This window comes from Homo sapiens, chromosome 8 (genome assembly GCF_000001405.40).
Source record: "Homo sapiens chromosome 8, GRCh38.p14 Primary Assembly".
Taxonomy (NCBI): domain Eukaryota; kingdom Metazoa; phylum Chordata; class Mammalia; order Primates; family Hominidae; genus Homo; species Homo sapiens.
The window spans coordinates 132,471,741-132,485,906 of record NC_000008.11 but is presented as its reverse complement, the minus strand read 5'-3'; the positions used below and the strand labels follow the sequence as shown (position 1 = coordinate 132,485,906).

Sequence of the window (14,166 nt, the reverse complement as noted above, 5' to 3'; positions counted from 1 at the left end):
GGAGAGCAACACATAAAACAGGCAATTGGTGAATGCTCACTGGAAGGATGAATGAATGAATTCGTTAAGTAGATAAATTGGATATTTTACCCAACATAATTATTTAAAAGAAAAAGACAAAAGTGACATTAAGAAACATGCAAAATTAATTTGAAGGTTAATGTAAAAATTGCAAATGTGAGGCAGGAAAAGAAACACTTTTCCAACTGAGAACAATCTAAGTTAAGCCCCTTAATCATTCCCATCTGGAGAGAAGGTGAGCGCCGTTTGGCTTGGAGCTCATTCATTCCCCATCATGCCTGACTTGAGTGCCTTCCACGATGCTGTGTCAGATGCCTTTCAGTAATGTAGTCAATGTGCACAGTACATCACAGGCTGCAAAGCCCTACCTTAACGTGGATCCTGGGAGGAATGATACTCAGACCAAGTCTAAGGCAGGGAGGATAAGAAACATTGTCCCATTGAACAGCTGAGGAAGCAGGCTAGAAATAAGTCTGGCAACTTTTTTCAGGTCACTAAGTGCAAAGTCACAGAGCCAGGACGATCTAAATGCTGAACTCTATTCTGCCCTCCTCTGCTGAGTGACATGTACAAGGGTGTTCCTTAGCTTCTTCTCGTTCCTTCCCAGGAAGGCTTCTCACCTGTAAGGGAACAAGAGTTCCTCTGTCCTAGTGTACAGTGATATGAAGTCTAGGAAAGGGAAAGACAAAAAGAAGACCTGGAGGAAGAGAAGAGGGGGCAGTAAATTTGAGGATTTGCTGAGATTGGGTTTTCAAGAATAAAAAACGCATATAGGGTAGTAATGGGATCCATTGTTCCCAAACATATTTCCTTTTGGCCCGGGTTGTTCCTAGACCCAGAATTAGAGCTTGTCGTGTCTCCTCCAAACAAGCAAAGAGTGCTCTTTTTGGCTACAAAGATCTGTCTCACTGGCTCCTCTGAGAGGTAGATTTATACCCAGGTCCAGAGTAAGCATTTAGGGGACAAATGATTTCATCAGAAGTAGTTTCATGTGGAATTCTTTGACGGTGAATGAGGCATTCCTAAATGCATGGATGGTGTTGTTGGCAGAATCATTGAGGACTGGAGAGGCAATTCTGTACCCAGGATACGTGTCTATTCCAGTAATGGCATATGTCCGCCCCCGCCCATGTTTGGAAGGTCCAGTGTAATCAACTTGCCACCAAGTGGCTGACTGGTCCCCTAGGGAAGGTGCCCCACTGGGGGCTGAGCATCTCCATTGCTTGCAGGTCAGGCATGCTTCAGTCCTGTTGGCAGTAGTCATGATCAGAATATTCACAGAGGGTGTTTCTGGGTAACAAGATGATTACTGTTGCCTTCTGGCTGATTTACATTTCATAATTTCCTAACAACTACTTTGCATTTCTTGTGTAACAAATAATAAAAGTAAATTTAAAATTGGCCTAAAGCAATTATTTAATGTGTTTAGGGAACAGAGTGAGAGGGGCAGGCAGGACCACCATTTGCATATGCCTGTGAACCTGAGACTGTCCTACTCATTCAATGACAGTCATAATAACCATCACTGGAATATCACCTCATCATGAGATGCTTACAACCCTGGATTTACAGAGGCAGAAATGTAGGCTCAGAGAAAGCCCTTTGTCTCTCTCTTTTTACTCATTCCCAGGAAGTGCCTCACCTGCAAGGGAGAGAGAGTTTACCTGAACATCTCGCCTATACATTGAGATGAAGACCAGCTAAAGAGAAAAGCAAAAATGAAAGCTAAGGCATGGAGGAGGGGAAGCAGGTGGGTGGGTTTTCAATGTTACACTTTGAGCTGGGGCTCAAAGCCAGGAGAGGAATGCCTCATTGTTGTCCTTGTTGATAGTGTGTCGCTAACTCTTTGCTTTGGTGCCATGTTCAGCTGGAACCTGAGGCTCTTAGGGACTTTAGGCCTCTGAGAAGTTTCCTTCCAGTGGGATATAGGATGTTTGATTTTCTTTAGCTGAAACCTGTGCTGTGGAGCGCTGTGATTACACAGTTCCTCCAATGACACTCAGTGCACACCCTGCTTTTGATGACATTTCCAAAGCCCCTATTAGAAGCCTAAACACTGCTTGCCATTGGATTATAAAACCATCAAAGCAACTCCATTTACTAGACTCAACTACCTGGCAGTTTCCCTATCATTGGGTTTAATTGGCTCAGTTATGAATTTGTTATTGACTTAACCTCATCTTTTATGGGAGGCATGCAAATAGCCCCTGCACCTTATCTTAAATTGTAATACTTGACAGTCTGAAGCTCCCATCAAAATAGAAGTCTTTTCATGTATCTGAGGATCCAAACTGTCATTCTGGGAATCTGAACTTTTGATTAATTGCACAATAATAAATTCTCACATCTTCTTTCCACATTCCTTGACTCGTCTTCTTTTTATGTTTATCTAGTGAGCCTTTTTATTTTAAATACTGTCAAAATGTTTTTATCATGTTTCTTAAGTTGCAAGGAGCATAAAGGAGCAGCAAGACTTCCTAAGTATGAAGACTTTCACAATGGTAAAACGAAACCAAACAAAAATCTCACCCACAAACATACATGGAATGCTTGTGTGCCAGGCATTGTGCTGAGAGCTTTACACTCTTCATTCGCTTATTCATCATTTATTCATGCTGCCAACACAGATTGAGAGCCTGTGATATGACAGACACACTTCCAGGATTCAAAACTAGGATGCTTAGTCCCTGCTCTTGTTTAGTAAGATAACAGTAAACAAGTAAACAGAATGTAAATGCGATCATTTTTGGCAGTGATAAATGTAATGAATGAACAAAACAGGAAGAGACTGAGGGAGAACAGCGACTTTGGAAAAGGTGCTCAGAGATAAAGGGCAAGATTGTTTCCTGGTTAGTTGGGATGGGAGTAGGACAGGAAGAATACACGTGAGTTTGGTGTGTTGGGCATGGCAGGGCTAACACATGGGCAGGAGGAGGCTTTGCAGTGCCCAGCTCCCATTTGGAGATATTCTGATCCAAGCAATTCCCTTTCCTTGGGCTTTTTCTCCTTTCCAGAGCCTGCTGGACTGGTTACTTACTCCAACTCACTGCTGAGCATTTATCTATTCACGGATGTACAGGGGTCCTACTGGGCACTGCCACGTTTCCATATGCTATTTCCTATAATTCCTCACAAAACCCATCAACCAGTGAACAGCCTTTTCCCCTGGGGTTCTTGTCATGAACTCTTCCCGTTTAATATTAAGTTCCCATGCTAGAGTCTGTTTCTGGACAAAGAATTCTGTTGCACTGAGAGTTTATTTTTGTACCGATCCCACACTGTTTTAATGATTTCAGTCTTACAGTTTAACTTCCTCTGGAAACTCCTCCCTTCTTGATTTGGAGACCTCTTTTGAGGTTCTCCCCTTTGATAGTCATTCTATAGGGTGGTGGTTCTCTGACCCTTCCCCTGCCCCAGCCCATACATTCCTACTCCCTTCCCTTCCTTCTTCCCTTCCCTGTCTCCTATGCTCTCCTTGGCCAACTTCTCCAGGCAAATCCAGAGCTGGTGTTCTTGCAGGTCTGATTCCTCTTTTCTTATACACTAGGGATAGATCCTCGGCCTTGTTCACAGGGTCTCCCCTCACCCCATGTCTCTCACCCCAGCTGACAGACATGAGGTGAGAGAGTGGGAAGGAAAGGAGGCCACAGATGCCATGGGGCAGCAGGAATGGAGGCTTCCCCGATGGCGGTGGGCATGGAAGAAGTGCAGGATGCTCCTGTCCTTTGTCAGTGTCTTACAAGATCTAGCCTTTGCCTGTGGCCTACTCTCATTAAGCTCAAGCCACCCTTCCCCTCCGCACCCGCTGTTCTGCTGTTTGGAGGGCTCTCTGGACATTTACATAGTTGCTCCCAGCTTGTCATTAGGGTCTCACCTCGAAGCATCACCTCCACAATAAGGCCTTCCACGACCAGCCGGTTTAGAGTGACTCCCCCAGTCACTATAGCGCAGCACTCTAATTTGTTACCACATACTATTTACCAATATCGGAAATTCTACTGTTAAAATTTGTCTTTTCATTGTCTTCCACCGGCTAGGACGGAGGTCTTAGGAGTGCAGAGACCTCATATCTTCAGGACAGAGATCACTACCCTTTGCCAGGGAAGCTCACGAGGGGTTACAGATTGGTTGATTGAATTGAAATTTGGACCAGAGAGGGAATGACTGGCTTGGGTGCAAGTCGGGAGCAAAGCAGGAATCAAAGATTCTGACTGCATTTCTTCAGTCCTTTGCCCACCCAGACAGGTGAAGGTGCTATTCAAAGATTGGGGGAGGAGAGGGCCGCGGCATCCACCATGAACCACGAACTAGAGGGAAGAGGGAAGAGGGAAGAGGGAAGAGGGAGTCACGAGCTTCGCTACCACAGAGCAGGTGCGTTCGCGGTGCGCCCGGCCTTGACCAACCCGACAACTTGGCTTTTACCTCTGAAGCCGAGGAGCAGGGGTAGGGGGTGAGGGAAATTCACAAAGCTGCAACCACAGAGCCAATGTTTGGTGGGCGACAACCCCCCAGTCCCTCCTCCCTTCCTCTTCTTCCCCCAACTGCCCGCCGTCACGCCCCATCCAGGGGAAGCCCCAACGCCCACGGGAGCTCCAGGAGCCGGGCTCTGCAGCCGCCTGGCGCACTGCCTGGTTGCAACGGGGGCGGCGGTAGCCCAGGCGATCCTGGGTCCCCAGACAATCAGCGGTGGGGGTCGGCGGGAAGAGGCGGGGCGCCGCCGCCCGGGCCTCCCGCCGCGACGGGGCGGGACAATGGGGCCCCACCCCGGGGAAGGAGGGAGGGAGGGACGCGGCGTGCTCTCGGCCCGCGGCGCGCTCGCTGCTGCTGCTGCTGACAGGCTGAGGCTGGAACGGGCGGGGAGGGGCGCGGGTGGGAGCGCGGAGGAGGGAGGAGGCGGCGGCGGCGGCGCGTGTGGCTGGCGGGCGGGAGGGCGGCTGGCACCGGGCTTGTAAATAAACTGCGATGCTGTCTTGGGCTCGCCGGCCTGGGTGCCGCCGCCGCCGCCGCCGCCCCGGAGCGCCGGTTCCAGGCTCCCGCCGCCGCGCGCCCTAGCGCCTCCGCGCCAGCCTCGCGCGCCCTCCCAGCTTCTCCGCAGCCCCCGGCCCGCGACCCTCGGGGTCCTGCGGCTGACCCGCGCGGGATGTGACCCCCTGACCCCCTGCCTGGCCTCCCCTGCCCCCCAGGGGGCCCGCCTTTGCCTGCTTTTGGGGGGGGGTGGGGAGGGGCGCGCGGATCATGGCATTGGAGTTCCCGGGCTTGCAGCCGCCGCCGCCGCCTCGTTCACGCACCCCGAGCGCCCCTTCTTCCCAGAGCAGCAGCGGAGAAGGCGAAGCGGCCGGCGGGGGCGAGGCAGATGGGGCTCAAGGCGCGCAGGGCGGCGGGGGCGGCTGGCGGCGGCGGCGACGGGGGCGGCGGAGGCGGCGGGGCGGCTAACCCAGCCGGAGGGGACGCGGCGGCGGCCGGCGACGAGGAGCGGAAAGTGGGGCTGGCGCCCGGCGACGTGGAGCAAGTCACCTTGGCGCTCGGGGCCGGAGCCGACAAAGACGGGACCCTGCTGCTGGAGGGCGGCGGCCGCGACGAGGGGCAGCGGAGGACCCCGCAGGGCATCGGGCTCCTGGCCAAGACCCCGCTGAGCCGCCCAGTCAAGAGAAACAACGCCAAGTACCGGCGCATCCAAACTTTGATCTACGACGCCCTGGAGAGACCGCGGGGCTGGGCGCTGCTTTACCACGCGTTGGTGTGAGTACCCGGCCGCTCGGGGCGCCCTCGGCGGCGGCGCGCTTGGGGACTTGGGGTCGGGGCTGGAGCTGAGAAGTCTCTGGGGCTTTAAGACCCATGGATGCTTTCCCGCTGAAGGGGAGACCAGCCCGTCCTCAGCACGCGTTTCCCTGGGTGTGTGTGTGTGTGTGTGTGTGTGTGTGTGTGTGTGTGTGTGTTGCCGCTCTCCGGGTGTTCCACACTAGGGGCTTAAAAAACGAAGCGTGGTTCCCCTGCTGATTTGGGCGGATGTGTGCGCGCGCGGGTGCACATTTATGACATCTTCTAGGGGTGTTGGTTTGGAAGCTTAAAATAATTATGTGGGTTTTTCCAATTAATGTGAGGGTTGAAGAGGATAAAGCGGGTCCTCCCGTGAGCTCTGTGTTTCTGTTTCGGGTGGATCCCTTCTGTTGGGATCGCCACTGAGTTTAGTTGGGGATGGGAGGGGTGCGCACCACCCATAGTGGGGAGCGTGTGTGTGTGTGTGTGTGTGTGTGTGTCGCTTGCTTGTGCCACCCTTCTGATCGCTGGGTACTGGTACAGAGAAGAACCTGGTGCTGCTCTGACTGGGAGCTGGGACTGGCCAAAATGCATGTTCTAGGATTCCTTTTAGGGAAGTGAATGGGAACGTGTGTGTCTAAGCCTAGACTGAGGGGCTGGGGCTTCACAGAGCCAGGAGGTGAGGGGGCCGGGGACTCTTTTGGCTGAAACATCTCCTTGATTTGGGATCCGATATTCCCTCAGCCTCAGTCGCTGCTGCTTCTCCTGCTTTGGCTGGCCTAGGGCACCGGGAATGTGAGGGGCTTGGCCTGGAGGTTTGCACCCAGGCACTGTTCTCCTAGAAAGAATCTCCTTGCTAGTCCGATGTAAATGCATGGCCAGAAGGAAGAAGGAACTCCCTCTGCACCTGCCACTGGGGATGGAAAATCCACCCGTATTTGGGAGGGGGGAGAGGATGGTGGGGGTGCTCCTCATTCAAGATTGGAAATCTGTGCTGTCAGCACCCATCTCGGAGCTGGCAGGGCACGTCCAGCCATCAAGCTCTGCCTTCTGGCTCTGGTTTAGTCATCCTGATGGCTGCTTCTAGGAAGCTGTACTGTACCAGGGTTTTGGCAGGGAATTGCCTATGACCTTGGCAACCCCCCCTCCCCCCTCTCTCCCCCACGCGTTTAGCAGTGGATTTTCCTCTCTATTCTCCTCCAATTCACCCATGACTGATGTGGTCGGAAGGGCTCAGGAGCCTTGGAGTTAGTTACACTACCTGCCAGTTTTTCTTGGTTAGAGACGTTTTTCTAGGTTCGGCCACCAGGTGGGGGCGTCCACACAGGACCTCAGACTTAGCAACAGGTTTCTTCAAGGAGGTTACCAAGCCCGGAGAGGGTGCCTTCCCGGAAACTAAGGAACCAGCAGGAAGGGTGGGGTGGGAGTGGGGCATTTTCCCAGAAACGTGGATGTTGGTGTCTGTATGAGTGTGCGTGTGTATGTGTGTGTGTGTGTGTCTATTTGCAGGTGTTGGTCGGGGTCTGGTTGGAGAGACGGCTTAACAATTGTTGCTCTTTCATTTGCTCTTTTTAGGTGGCCGAAAAAAAAGCATTAAAATACATTCCTCTCTCTGTCTCTAGCAATATGTTTAGTTAAATTGAAGTGAATACTGAAATATGTGATAGTTAAAAAAGGCACAAGAAGTTCGTTGAGTGCACACAGTCATACAATGATTCACGTGTCCTTTCACATGCACATCGCGTTCAGTACGTACTGACTGAAAAACCTGGGGGTCCTATGGAAGCATGTGGGCTCCCTCTTTCTTCTCTTCCCACCTTTCCCAGCCAGCACCTCCAGCCCTGCCTTGTCCAGTCTGGGGAAGGGAATAGCTAAAGCTGTTACTGACTGAGCCTCAATTTTATTTTTTTCTAGAATTATTGCATCACCTGGAAGCAGATTTGATAATGCCAAAACCTGGAGCCTGTTTCCCAAAAAGGATCCAGGAAAATTTAAGACTTTGTGAGAAGAAAGTCAGTTACCTAGCTAGGAACTATATATGCAAATGCATATATATGCAAATATGCAAATGTACTAATTTTATTTAATCCTCACACAGTACTATTAGATGGAAATTATTATCTCCGTTATATAAAGATATGAAAACCTCAAGAGAGAAAATCACTTGTCCGCGATCACACAGCTAAGGTTCCTGGAGCTCGCATTTGAATGCAGTGGGTTCACTCTGTTTCTGAGCCAAGATTCCAGTTCTGATGCTCTTCCAACAATTGTGGGACCCTGGGTATTTTGCTGAGCGTCACTGGGTGCCCCTTTCCCCATTGTTAATGCAGGGCCATGAGTAATTCCTTGGCCTCCCCTTGCTAGCTCTCAGATGGCAAATTGCTAGAAATGAGAGTTTAGAATCAAGTTGGGGGCTGGTCAGAACTCAGGAAGCCACAGTGTTAGGAAAATTGAGGATGAACTGGGGTGGTGGTGGGATTGCGGATTCTGATAAATTGGGAGCTACACAGGAAAACCTGTGTTGAATTCCCATTGAGCTCCTAATATTGAAGCATACTTACTTAGTACATGCATAGTACATTCTCCCTGCAGCTTAGGAGACAGTCCAGTCAAGTGAACATAATTGAACCTTTCCTTGATGATTCAGGATTTTGCATTGAAATTTATGTTTTCAAGCATCCATTATCTTGTTCTGGGCTGTGGCTAATGGCACAATGGGCCCAGGAAATTGGGCTTACCATAGGCCTACAATCTAGTGGATGCTTTTTTTTTTTTTTTAAATTAAAATGAACCAGGTCCATGATGAGATTATTTTTTTTCTCCTTCCTAAAGGTAGAATACAGGAAATATGGAAATCAATCAAACCCTTACCTTGTTTCTTTTGCCTCAAATGCTGTATTAGTCTGTTTTCACAGTGCTATAAAGAAATACCTGAGACTGGGTAATATATAAAGGAAAGAAGTTTAATTGTTTCACAGTTCTGCGTGGCTGGCGGAGGTGGGAAGGGGTGGTCTCAGGAAACTTACAATCATGGAAGAAGGCAAAGGGGAAGAGGAAGCCAGGCACATCTTACATGGTGGCAGGAAAAAGAGAACAAAGGGGAAGAGCCACACACTTATCAAACAACCAGATCTCCTGAAACTTCTATCAGGAGAAGAGCAAGGGGAAAATATGCCCACATGATTCAGTCACCTCCCACCAGGCGACTCCCACAATATGTGGGTATTATAATTTGAGACGAGAGTTGGGTGGGGACACAGAGCGAAAACATATCATTCTGCCCCTGCTTCCTCCCAAATCTCATGTCCTTTTCATATTTCAAAACCAATCATGCCTTCCCAACAGCACCCTAAGGTCTTAACTCATTCCAGCATTAACTCAAAAGTCTAAGTCCAAAGTCTCATCTGAGACAAGCAAGTTGCTCCTGCCAATGAACCTGTAAAATAAAAAAAAAGTTTGTTACTTCCAAGATACAATGGGAGTATAGGCATTGGGTAAATGTTTCCATTGCAAACGGGAGAAATTGGCCAAAACAAATGGGCCACAGGCCCCATGCAAGTCTGTAACCCAGCAGGGCATGCATTAAAAAAGCTCCAAAATAATGTCCTTTGATTCCATGTCTCACATCCAGGCCACCCTAATGCAAGGCTTGGGCTTCCATGGCCTTGGGCAGCTCCACCCTTGTGACTCTACAGGGTTCAACTCCTGTGGCTGCTTCCATGGGCTGGCATTGAGTACCTGTGGCTTTTCCAGGCACACAGTGCAAGCTGTCTGTGGATCTACCATTCTGGGGTCTGGAGGACGGTGGCCCTCTTCTCACAGTCCAACTAGGCAGTGTCCCATTGGGGATTCTGTGTGGGGGTTCCAACCTCACATTTCCTCTTGCACTGCCCTCACAGAGGTTCTCTATGAGAGCTTCACTCCTGCAGCAGACTCCTGCCTGGACATCCAGGTGTTTCCATACCTCCTCTGAAATCTAGGTGGAGGTTCCCAAAGCCTAACTCTTGTCTTCTGTGCACCCACAGGCCCAACACCACACAGAAGCCACCAAGGCTCAGTGCTTGCACACTCTGAAGCAATGGGCTGAGCTGTACCTTGCTCCCTTTTAGCCATGGCTGGAACTGGAGCGGCTGGGACACAGGGCACCAAGTCCAGCAGCTTCACAGAGCAGTGGGGCCCTGGGCCTGGCCCAGGAAACCATTTTTCCCCCCTAGGCCTCTGGGCCTGTGATTGGAGGGGCTGCCACAAAATTCTCTGATGTGCCCTGGAGACATTTTCCCTGTTGTCTTGGCTATTAACATTCAACTCCTCATTACTTATGCATATTTCTGCAGCTGGCTTGAATTCCTCCGCAGAAAATGGGTTTTTCTTTTCTACCACATGGTCAGGCTACAAGTTTTCTAAATCCTTATGCTCTGCTTTCCTTACCAATATCAGTTCCAATTTCAGACCATCCCTTTGTGAACGCACATAACTGAATGTTTTCAGAATAAGCCAGGTTAACTCTTGAATGCTTTGCTGCTTAGAAATTTCTTCCACCAGATACCCTAAATCATCCTCTGAAGTTCAAAGTTCCACAGATCTTTAGGGCAGGTGCAAAATGCTACCAGTCTCTGACAGAGCATACCATAAGTGTCCTTTACCCCAGTTCCCAATAAGTTCCTCATCTCCATCTGAGACCACCTCAGCCTGGACTTCATTGTCCATATCACTGTCAGCATTTTGGTCAAAACCATTCAGTAAGTCACTGGGAAGTTCCAAACCTTCCCACAATTTCTGATCTTCTTCTGAGCCCTCTAGACTGTCCCAACCTCTGCCCATTACCCAGTTCCAAAGTCTCTTCCATACTTGCAAGTATCTTTATGGGAGTGCCCCAAACTCCAGGCACCAATTTCCTGTATTAGTCCATTTTCACACTGCTATAAAGAAATACCTGAGACTGGGTAATTTATAAAGGAAAGAGGTTTAGTTGACTCACAGTTCTGCATGGCTGGGGAAGTCTCAGGAAACCTACAATCGTGGCAGAAGGGGAAGCAGGAATGTCTTACGTGGTGCCAGGAGAGAGCGCAAGAGTGAAGGGGAAGAGTCACACACTTATCAAACAACTGGATCTTATGAGAATTCTATCACGACAAGAGCAAGGGGGAAATCCACCCCCATGATTCAGTCACCTACCACCAGGCCACTCTGGAAACATGTGGGGATTACAATTTGAGATGAGTTTTGGATGGGGACACAGAGACAAACCATATCAAATGCCCATCCCCTGCTTTCACTTGGTGACTCCCCTTCACCTTGGCCCAGCTTCCCCAGGCATAGAATTTTGTACCTCGCATTTGATTGATCTCTGCTTGTCTGCCCTGTTGAGCTGAGAGCTACTTGAGAGTGGGAGCTGCTTATTCTCCTGTAACCTTACCACTCCACAGCAGGCTGCAGAGTGCATGGTAGGTACTAAGTAAGCATTTGCTGAATGGATGCATGTGAGAATTCTGTAAGGGTTCTGGTTAATCAAGACTTTGCTGCAATAGCTTTACTACTATCCCAGTAACAGTAAGTAGTCAAAGCCAGCATTACAGGACTTTAATTATAAGAATAGTTCTTAGAAGTCCAAAAATGGACTATGGGAGAGAAAACAAGATTGGAGACCATGCTTTAACTTGAGTGAGGGTGATCACTTCTCTAGTTTTTTTAACCTTATGGCTGAAAGAGATTCTGATTTTATGAAAAACATGCTAGACTTGGAGTTCACATCTGGACTGCTTTGTGTCTCTGTGACTGCAGGAGTCAAGTTGGGGATGACCTATAAATTGAGGATGATTACACTACCCTATCACAGGGTGGTTTTTAGTCTCAAAGAATAGTATATATGAATGCAGTTAGCCCAACACTAGGCACTCAGTATACATTAGTTAATTCTGAATAGGGATCTCCTTAAAAGTCATACATACCTGACACTGTGACTGTCCTGAGGCTGTCCAGGGATTCCCCTTTCTTTGCCTGTTAGTGAAAAGATGCTGGCTTCATCTTGGCATTCATCTCATTTGGCACTGGATAGGCATCCTGCTGCCCTGACCATCTTGCCACAGCCAGCTGTGATCAATCACTCTCCTGTTGACAAACCAAGGGAAAATGATCACAAGAAATACCCACTGACTGCATTCTGAGGTATGCTTGCTCCAGGGACATCTGGCAGGCAAGACTGGGTAGTGAGACACATGGAGCCAGCAGCTGCTCTGGAACATAAAGGGCCTGCCTAGTGGACTTAGCATGTTGACAAGAAGATCTATTGTCTTCAGGTTGGAGGAGACACTGAATGCCCACTTAATGCTGTCGGTAATGCAGAGTCTTCCCAATTTGGAGGTAAGATAAATTTGGGCCTCCAAACTTGCTTGCTTCTTATAGCTGGTATGGTCTTGGGCAAGTTGCTGTATCTTTGGGCTTCAGTTTCTTCATCTGAGAAGTGTTGTAAGTAAGTTATAGGCTCTTGTGAAACTAAGAGCACTTTACATGGAAGAAGCATTCAGTGTTAGATATTTGTGTTGTTAACGTTAATCAGTTAATAGATATTTTTAATGCCTTCTCTGTACCAGGAACTCTTCTAGATATTAGGGATATAGAAATAAATAAAACAAAAGGAAACAAAACAATCTCTGCCTAATGGAACATATACTCTAATGACAACCTTGTTAATATTAGCAGAAATCTCAGAATTTGGTCATCTGGTCAACGTCCCAGCCAGAGTAGAATGAATCCCTCCAGCAGTATCTTAGCCATGCCTATAAACTGTAATTCATTACTGAAGTAACATCAGTTTTTCTCTAGACAATGCTGATTTCAACTTCCATTTCCCTGACTCTATTTAGCTCATTCTCCTTTTCAGCTCCCATGTATTTTATTCTTTCTCATCTACCACTTGATGTTGGTTTTCTTAACCATTCTCAATCAGTCCTCACCTTTTTTCATCCCACTAATCTCTCTTTGCCTTTCCTTCCTCAGTATGGCCAATTTCCTTCTCATTTTGAGAAGCAAGGATTTTGATAAGTTGTCATTCTTTATTCAGCAGTAAGAGCATGATCTTTGGAGTCAAACATTGGTTGCATTTAACTCTGCTGTTTCTTCTGTGTAACCTGGAATAATTTGCTCAACCTTCCTGAATTTCCATTTCTTTATTTCTAATATTAAGATAATACTGCCTACATCCCAAGGCTGTTGTAAAATTTTTTAAATTGATGGATAATGTATGTACATATTTATGAGGTACATGTACTATTTCATTGCATGCGTAGACTGTGTAACAATGAAGTCAAGGTGTTTGGGGCATCTGTCACCTGGAGTATTTATCATTTCTATGTGTTGGGAACATTTCAAGTCCTCTCTCTTAGCTGTTTTGAATTATACAATACATTGTTGTTAACTATGGTCACCCTTCTCTGATATTAAACATTAGAACTTATTCCCTCTGACTGTATGTTTGTACCCATTAACTAACCTCTCTTTATACCCCTACTCCTGCACATTCATCCTTCCAAGCCTCTGGTATCTATCATTTTATTCTCTACTCCATGAGATCAACATTTTTAGCTCCCACATATGGGTAAGAACACATGATATTTGTCTTTATGTGTGTGGGTTATTTCATTTAACATAATGACTTCCAGTTCCATCCAAGTTGCTGCAAATGACATGATTTCATTTTCTCATGGCTGACTAGTATTCCATTGTGTACATATACCATATTTTCTTTATCTGTGCATCCATTGATAGATCCTTTGGTTGATTCCTTACTTTGTTATTGGGAATACTGCTGCAATATACATGAGAGTGCAGGTATTTCTTCGATACATTGATTTCTTTTCTTTTGGACAAATACCCAGTAGTGGGGTTGCTGGATGGTATGATAGTTCTATTTTTAGTTTTTTGAGAAATCTCCATATTGCTTTCCATAGTGGCTGTACTAATTTACATTCCCACCAACAGTATGTAAGAATTCCTTTTCTCAGAATCCCCATCAGCATCTGTTATTTTTTGCCTTTTTAATAATGACCATTCTAACTAGGGTAAGATGATATCTCATTGTGGTTTTGATTTCCATTTTCCTGATAATTAGTGATATCAAACATCTTTTTATATATCTTTTGACCATATATATGTCTTCTTTTAAGAAATATCTATTCATATCCTTTGCCCACTTTGTAATGGGATTATTTGTTTTTTAACTGCTGAGTTTCTTGTATATTCTAGATACTAGTCCCTTGTCGATGAATAGTTTTCAATTTTTTCTCCCATTTAAGGGGTTGTCTCTTCACTCTGTTGATTGTTTCATTTGCTACATAGAAGCTTTTTAGTTTAAAATAGTCCCATTTGCCTATTTTTTGTTTTGTTGACTGT

The 14,166-nt window shown here is 47.4% G+C and overlaps 1 protein-coding gene across 2 annotated transcripts in view; it reads left to right on the top strand.

Annotated features, from left to right (window-relative positions):
• KCNQ3 (potassium voltage-gated channel subfamily Q member 3) overlaps positions 4,812-14,166 on the top strand; it is a 360,235-nt gene continuing 350,880 nt past the window's right edge. For both annotated transcript variants that reach the window (XM_047421769.1, NM_004519.4), the window contains exon 1: positions 4,812-5,760. In XM_047421769.1, the coding sequence (XP_047277725.1) occupies positions 5,375-5,760 (386 nt within the window). In that variant the 5' untranslated portion in view covers positions 4,812-5,374. The remainder of the gene's footprint in view (positions 5,761-14,166) is intronic.